Source organism: Homo sapiens, chromosome 6 (genome assembly GCF_000001405.40).
Source record: "Homo sapiens chromosome 6, GRCh38.p14 Primary Assembly".
Classification (NCBI taxonomy): domain Eukaryota; kingdom Metazoa; phylum Chordata; class Mammalia; order Primates; family Hominidae; genus Homo; species Homo sapiens.
The window spans coordinates 87,966,548-87,975,888 of record NC_000006.12 but is presented as its reverse complement, the minus strand read 5'-3'; positions in this window follow the sequence as shown (position 1 = coordinate 87,975,888).

Here is a 9,341-nt window from a genome sequence, read left to right as displayed (position 1 = left end):
AAAAAAAAAAAAGAAGAAGATGTGGTCAAGTTAGGAATCTGGAGATTAGGAGATAATCCTAGTTTATCAGGGTGGGCCCTCAATGTGGAACAATCACAATTGTCCATGTATGTAAGAGAAAGGCAGAGGGAAACTGGACACCACACATGCAGAGGAGAAGGTAACATGAAGGCAGAACAGTGAGAGACACAGTCACAGCCAAGGAATGCCAACAGCCCTCAGAAGATGGAAGAGGCAAGGAAGGTACTCTATCCCCTCCCAAAGCCTCTGAGAGAGGAGAGCCCTGCCGATACCTTAATTTCCAACTTCTGACCTCCAAAACTGTGAGAGAACAAATTTCTGTTGTTTGAAGCCACCCACTTTGTGGTTATTTGTTACACAGCCCAAGGAAACTAATTCAGAGGTAGAGGCCAAGTTAAAACTCACGTTTGCTAAATCTAAAATTCATGTTCTTTGTATTCTGTAGATGCCAGGGAAAGAAGATTGTGAGGAGGGGGAGAAGGCTGAGGAAAAGGGAAGAGGCTAAAAACTCTCTCCAAGGAGGATATCCAGGGCAGAAATATGGAAAATAGGAGTGCTTTACACCTCTTTCTAGCAATCAGTCCCCCACATTTACAACTAAAAGAAGGAGAAACAGGACCCAGAAGATGAGCCTCAAAGACAAAAGGAAAATCTCAAATTAAATATGAGTTCAATAAATACATGTAATTTTACAACCATAGGAGAAGAGCAAATGAACAATAACTAAGAGAAGAAATCCAACAACAAACAAGTGAAAACTCACAGTCAAGGGTAAACTAGCATACTCGTGGTCTCAAACGAGACCTAAGGAGAAATGGTAACTGTAAAAGAATGAGGGGGTGTACCAAAAGGTGCCAGGAATGCTGGGACCACTATAGAGGAATGAAAACATCACCTATAAGAAGAAACACTGCAGAAAAATAAAGAACTAATAATGCATTCACGGTATCAGCACAGACACTCCTAATAAGAACAAAATTACACAGACAGATGTCAACACAAGAAAAGATGACGGACTTAAAGAATTATTTTCATGTAGAAAGAGATTCAAGCCAAGACAAATCATTCAACTTGTTCTGTTTACTTCCAGAGGTCTCAACCAGACTAACAGGAGAGAAGTTACAATAAAGCCACTTTGGCTCAATAAAAGGAAAAAATTTTAAATAACCAGAACTTTCAACAATGAAGTGAGTCTTCTTGTGTGATGGTGATCTCATTATAAGAAATATGACAGCAGAGGCTGGGAGACCATCTGTCAGGGGTGCTATGGACAAGATTTCAGCATCTCCACATCTTGAGGTCTCTTCCAACTCTAGGAATCTATGGCTTGAAAAAACATACATAAATTATAAAAATAATTCATAAAAATGATTAGAGGACAACTGACTTTGATGATGTTTAACATTTCTCTAAAGAGAATTAAATATAACTTAAATCTAAATGTTTACTTTACCTTATAAAACACAATGGTGGCTAATCAAAGTTCTCCAATAGACACATAGTTAACATATTTCAATGAAATTTAACCTGCAGATAGAGATTAAACAGCTATTCAACTACACTAATGGAATCTACATTTTGCAGAAGCATTAGAAGTCAAAGTACAAGTCTTTCTTGGCTAGCAGCACCTGAGAATACAGTGAGGAGGTGGAATCAGGTGGGGATTTGGAGAAAGAGGTTGGAATTAAAAGCCAGAGGCACCACTTCCTAGCTTTGGCTCATGGCAAGGCATTAAGCCCCACTGAACTTCAATAACTTTGATGTTAAATAGAGATGATAATAATAGACATCCTAACTCACCAGTGGTTCTAAGAATCTTATGAGAAAGTGAGTATGAAAGTGCTTTGCAGGACATAAACAGACACTTTTCAAAAGAAGACATACATGCAGCGCCAACAATCATATGGAAAAAGCTCAACAACACCAATCATTGGAGAAATGCAAATCAAAACCACAGTGAGATACCATCTCACACCAGTCAGAATGGCTATGATTAAAAAGCCAAAAAATAACAGATACTGGCGAGGTTGAAGAGAAAAAGGAGCACTTATACACTGTTGGTGGGAGTGTAAATTAGTTCAACCATTGTGGAAGACAGTGTGGTGATTCCTCAAAGACCTAAAGATACAAATACCATTGGATGCAGCAATCCCATTACTGGGTATATACCCAAAGGAACATAAATCATTCTACCATAAAGACACATGCACGTATGTATTAATTGCAGCACTATTCACAATAGCAATGATATGCATGGAATCAACTTAAATGCCCATCAAGGATAGACCGGATAAAGAAAATGTGGTACATATATACCATGGAATACTATGCAGCCATAAAAAAGAACAAGACCATGTCCTTTGTAGGGACATGGATGGAGCTGGAGGCCATTATCCTTAGCAAACTAATGCAGGAACAGAAAAACAAATATCGCATGTTCTCACTTATAAGTGAGAACTAAATGACGAGAACACAGGGACACATAGAAGGGAAAAACCCACACTGGGGCCTATCAGAGGATGGAGGGTAAGAAGAGTGAGAGGATCAGGAAAAATAACTAATGGGTACTAGGCTTAATACCTGGGTGATGAAATAATCTGTACAACAAAACCACATGACACAAGTTTACCTATGTAATAAACCTGTACATCTACCCCTCAACTTAAAATAAAAGTTAAAAAAAAAAGAAAGTGCTTTGTAAATAGTGATATGTACTCATGATTACTATAGGGTCTTCAAAGCCCCATTATCCTATGATACTCTTATAACCCTTATAATGGCCTTAGGTTGGGATGGCCCCAGTGCAGACCCTAAGACAGGCATTTGGATGCGAATGGTTTTTTTGGATGGTAATCCCAGGCAGCACAATTAGAAGAGCTGGAAAGCGAGACAGGGAAGGAAAGAAGTCAATACAGCGTATGTGTTACCAAACAAACTACTACTGCAGATGACTGAGGTGCAATCCTACTAAGGACTGCTGGGAGTGAGGCTACATAGAAGAAGGGGCACAGTGAGAGAGCTGAGGTCCTGTGCCACCAATTCCCATTAGTGTTTCCTCGAGGTCTACTCCTGAGACACTAGCAGCCCAGGCTTCTAACCTCCCCAGCTCAGGCTGAGCATGCTCCAGCAGTCAGAGAAACTCCTCAGGCAAAAAGTCACAGCTGCCTACAGTAGAAGGCACTGAGTCTTTGAGCTCCCAATATAAGGAGCCCAGGGGAATGTGCACAAGGCATCAACAGCATCCACTCCATACTCTTTTCTTCATTTTGAGAAAACTAAGGCACAAATACTTTCTAAGACTTGGCTATAAGTACATGATTGCAAATTAGAAAGATACAACCCAACCTAGTGAGCTAACTGGGACTGTCAGATTTCACCTTTCCAATTCATCAGAAGTTAGTGGTTTTCTTAAAGGCCATGTTCATAGGAGTTGACAGTATGACAACATTTTGGCATTTTTTAGATCAAAGGAGCATCATATTGATAAATATGGAGATAGGAGAAGTGTAAAAAAGACTATTAAAATCAACACTGAATGGTAAAGAATAATGCAAATATTTATAAGAAAAGTAAGAAGGCATCAATGTTCAGATTCAAGATGCTCATCAAGCAAAATTTCCTAAGCCTGTCTTTCTCCACCACTACCCGGATTCCTATCTCACTGTCTTTGGAAATCCATAGAGGTGATTTCACCCATGCCAGGTTCCACTCTTCCTTTTCCAGGCACGTCTTACATCACGTTGTCCTGCAGAACATAGTTTTCTCTCTTTTCAGGGCCAGCCCTGACCTGCCAGAGACAGCATGCTAATCCTCACTTATCTTGGTTGTAAAGTCTAATCTGTTACAGCACTGGCCTGTCAGTCAGACTTCTTAGCAGTACATGGAGTGAGATTCAGTTCAGCAATCTACAGTGAGGTATGGGACCTGGGGATTCCTTCCTTCTGAACGTTTTATGCCATTGACTTCCAGTGTGGCCTTTGAGCAAGTCATTTAACCTCCTTGGCTCAGTTAACCATATGGAAAATGAACATGATAATATCTCACAAGGGTATTGTGAGATTACTCAATGTTTATAAAGTGCTTGGGAAATGAAAGGCCCTGAATGGGCCTAGCAATGTCATTAATCATGTGGCCAGTTGAATTCAAGTAGGTGGAATGTTATAGAACTCTTTACTTTCTGGATAATTTCATTGCAATACCTCACAAATCATGAGGCTTAACTCTATGAAAATTTAGACAATGAATTTCATGCCGTAGTGGAGGACTTAGAATTTTTCTAAACACTTGCTTTTGAATTGCCTTTTCATAGACGTTGTTTCTTCCTCTCTCAAGAGCAGAAAATTGCTGAAACACTCATTGCTTTATTTCAGGAGCTCTACTTCTTTCTCAAGCACAGTGGGCCTTTCCTTGTCTTCATTTCTCTATCACTTTGTTTGTTTACTCATTCCACAAATGATCATTAAGCCCTAGCTACATTCCAGGTACCCTGCTAAAGGCTGGAAAAACACAACTAAGACATGTTTTCCACTTTGGAGGAGCTCCCAGTCCGGAAGGAGAGAAAGACATACAAACAAATAATCATGAAGGAATATGAACTCCAAAAAGCTATGGAAATTCAAACAAGTTTTTATACTACCTGTCAGGTAGTCAATGAACTGAAATTCCCCTCCAGGAATGATTTCCTCCTCAAAACTCACACTTGAATTACATGAGATTGCACTAGCTATCCTGGTTCTATTACTATCATTGTTCTCCCTTATCGGTTTGTTTTTTCTCTTTAATAAGCGTAGGTATTATCTAAGGTTTTATACTTGGTTTCTCCTCTGTCTGTCTTCCTTTTCTCAGTATAACATCTATTCCCTGATGTCAGTTATTGTCAGTATGAAGCTCTAACTCTGACCTGTCTCCTAAGTTTCCAATTTACTTGAAGATCCTTAAACTGGACATCACCCACACCAAATTTACAACATTCCTAACACTCTGACTTCCTCTGCTTGATTTCTTGAATTCTCTGAATGGTTCCATGACTTCCCTTATCCATGCTTTAAACCCAAGCATCACATGAGACTCTTAATTCTTACTCATCCTCACATCAAAATGAGCACATGTCCTCTCTGTTTTGCAAAGGGTAGAAGATGAAGTGAGCCTCAGAAAATTCAAGATCTCTCAGATACTATCTTCCACTGCTAGTACCTCCCATCTACAATCTTGCAATCTCCTCTCTCCTATCCCTACTGTGAAGTTCTCCTTTTCCCGGGCAATCCCTATAGGCTAGCAATCCAAAATTTCTTTAGCATTCTTCTATTTATATCACTCTTCTGCTCAAAAGTATTGATTGCTCCCCAATGCCTGCTAACTTAAGTCAAATTTCCTCATTCTGGGACTAAGTACCTTTTGCAAAATAGCCACAAACTTGTTTTTCAGCCTCTTCTCCAACTACTTGCCCATGCTAGGCATAAGATGGAGCCTGGCGGATGGTTGATGGTTTCCAAGTGGATATCCTCTTAGTCACCCCTAGATCTTTACACATACTGTCCCTCCTGCCTGGAATATCCTTCTTGCCCATCTCTGCCTAGCCCATCAAGGTCAATCGCAAACATTGCCACTTCCACACAACACCTCTTCCTAATCCCCAGTTACATTCGGCTGATTCTCCCTTCAAACCTCCAGAACTCTTTTTTGTTCACCTCTAATGGCACGAATTTTGCCCTTTTTCTACTCTGTTTGCCTTATCCCCTTCCAGATTGAAAGCTCCTTGAGGAAACAGAATGTATCTTATTCCATCTTCATTATTACCCCCAGCACTTAGAACAACACTTGTTGAATCAAACGAAATTAATCCTAGAAACACCAGACTTCTTGCTGTTGTTTCAACTACTCTTCATTTACATAAATGGGCATTGTTCTCCAAAATATTTTTAATACAAGAGCTGACCTCATTATTGCAAGGAAAAGAAAAGCAACAAAAATCTCTGCAGTGCCTGCCTTAATAATATTAACATTTACTCCCTATTTCAATTAAACCATGAAACAATTTTTTGTGTCCCTGAGTCTGTGCTGTTTGTTTAGTGCTGGAATACAGAAATCAATAAGACCTAGTCCATCACCTCAAAGAACTCAGAGTCAAATGGGAAAGACAAACTAATAAACAAATGCATTGCAATACCAGGTAATATGTACAAGACTAAACATATGGGCAAAGCATGGAGGATGGAGGCAATACTTTAATCAAGGGGATCATGAGTGTTAGAGAAAACACACGTAGATGGAGCCAGAGTTGTCCCAGAAAGTAAAGAGGGGGAGACAGAATTTCATGCATTTGCATCTGCAAAGGCCCAGGGGCATGAAATAATACAGTGTCGTAGCAGGACTGTGGCCAGTTAATTCCTGCTGCCACATAAAATACATATGGCAGTGTCTCATGGGAAGAAGATAAAGAAGTAGTTGGTAGCCACACTGCAAATAGCCCTTCATACCTTACTAAGGAGTCTCTATTTTTCCTATAGATGATAGGGAGCTGGTAAAGAGTTTTAGGAAAGGCTAAGATTCTGACACTTAAATTGGATTTTCTTAAAATTGACTCAATTCTGATTTTTTAAAAATACTAGCACTGGCTAGAAAAAGGAGGTCAAGCCAAGATCTGGAGAAAAGGACTGCATTTTCTGAGGAATATGTATGCTTAAATTTATTTTCGAATTTGTATGTTGAGGGCCCATTTCCCGGTAAACCTACCTTCTACAAGAGCTGCGGCAGCAACAGTATGGAGAGCTGATATGCACGAGGTAGTTATTCCAAACATTTTTATACATTATCTCATTTAATACACCCAACAGTCATAGGAGGTTCACGGCTCAGAGGGAGAAACTGAAACGCAGAGGAGTCCAGCAGCCGTCCAGGATTCCCCACCTAGTGAGAGGGAGATCGGGGAGGAGGGGGCCCCCTAGGTAGCCTGCGTGTCACAGCTCCATGCAGTGCTGCGAAAACTGCGGAACATATCTGCGCCTTGTTTGTTTTCCTCTTCTTTTTAATGTGAGAACAATTATGTTTACTACGTACTTCAGAAACCGGCCCTGCAGCCCAGTGTTGATAAAGAAGGGCTCTGAGACAGGCGCTGCTAGCACCGCAAAAGCCTTCCGGCTGGGAGGGGCTCCTTGCTACTCAGCAGAGAGCCTCGCGCTGTGGAAAAGAACGCGATTGTTATTCAAAACAAAAATATTCTTACCAGCACTGAAAACTACATTTACAAGTTAAGCACACGTTTTCTAAAAGTAGAGAAGATTCCAGGAGGGAGGGAGCATCTCTCGCAGCCTGGAGGGAGGAGACATCTAATTGCCTATTCATGAGGGAGCCGGTCTCTCAGGGACTGTAACATTTCCAAACAGGCTGTGCAGAGAATGGCAGCGACTGTGAAAACAGCAGGTCGCTGAATTCAAAACCTTGATGTAAACATATACATCACAAATCTCAATGCTCGCTTTTCATCAACTGCAGAATCTGTAATGTTAGCACTGTGGATCTTATATTGTGAGCTTTTGTGTATGGGTGCAGGTACACTTACAGGCGTGGAATTCACGTATGTACAGTCCAAGATATTAATGTAATAAGAAAGGTTCCAAAAACCACGTCTGAAAATCTGCTACATTACTTTGGAGTCACAAGTCACACACATGTGTGCATGTTCATGCATGCATGTGCACACCTACACACACACACACACACAGATAATACACATCTCTGGCTTTCTCTATTTGGGGGTGTGGAGGTGTAGAGTAAATCTCCCCTCTCTTCCTTGTATTTTCCCTCAAATTGCCCAAATTTTTGTACCTTTGAAAAAGCTGTGGGTCTCTCTCTGTGTTATCTTTGTACCTTTACAAAGGAAAGAATATGTCAGAAATTAATTGAACCAAACCTGCTGCAGAAAATGGACCAGTGCCTTGCACGACAAGACTCTTGCCTCCTTCTCAAATTTGAAATTTTGACTGCCTAAAGTTGTTGTGTAATGGAACAAGAATTCTAGTGAGACTAAAATATCTGCATAGCCACTTCAGTTTCATCCTGTTCTGTCTGAATGTAGAAAAAGCTAGCACTCCTCTATGTGAAGCTTCCCCAAACCCACTGCCTTCCATTCCAGGCTCGTTATGATGAGGGTCAAAGTGAGCTCAAGAAAGGTGCCATGTGTGAAATGGTAAAATGCTCTAAGGTACAGCTCCTCATTCCTGAATATGGTTTTGCAGGGCAAGGACAGGCATAGGGACTGCCAAGTTTTGATGCTGGGTAGGTTTCTAGGACCCTTATGCAGGGGGCATGGAAATGAGGTTCTAGGGAGAGCCCAAGCGCTAACTGGAAAGCTTTGAGGTTATAAGAAGTGAGAATGATGAAAATGATACCCTCTAGATTTGGAGATGACAAATGAAGGTAGGATGGTGCCTTGGGCACAGACATAAGGAGCTTGAGACCATGCCATGCTTCAAAAGTGAGAAATGGCTAAATTCCATTAAGGATCATGGAACTACACCATGATTGCTAAAAGAAAAAAAATACTCAACTGGCTACGTATTTTAAGAAACCAAAAGTTGCTGCATGGGACTAGCCTAAAAAGAGAAGTCAGGAGGTGAAGAGGGAGAAGGCAATGATCAGTTCAGTAAATAGTGGAGTGTCAGAAGAAAAGCATCCTTTGGAGACCTGAAAGCAGGGTCAGCTTTTCAAGGATGATCTAAGCTGATACTGGAAAAAGTTAGTTTGAATGCCATTAAACATAATCCAGTGGCTAGGATGTAAGTGGGCTCCTGATGTGAAGAAGAAAGAAGTCAAAGTTAGTCTATGAAAGTAAGCGGCTTAAGGGGCCCCAACTAAGAGCAAAAGATGCCCTTGATCAATAGCTAACATATGTGCCTCCAAATCAGCTCAGTGTCTCCATCATGTTTTCAAGGTATTAGCCACCACTGACAAGCCAGGTATCAGTGTGGACACTTCACACACACCGGCATGAATACCAAAAGGTTTGTCTACACTTGAATTTGATGCGGTAAATTCCAGTTGATCTAGTGACTGCCTGTGCAATGGGGCTCAGAAACCTCAGGGGGCATGGGAAGAGATTGTGTGAGGCAGTCAGCCCACTTGGACTCAGAGCCAAACCCTCTCCACACTCAATGTCTGCGTTCAAAGCCAACCATAGCAAGCAGGAGGGCAAAGATCTGTTGTGTACCTCAGTACTAAAATGGCTTGCCTAATCCTCAAGGGACATGCCAGTGTGATAGTGTATGGATTTCTCACCACCCAGAATCAATTCTTGGTCATTTACTAAGGACTGGGAAATATAT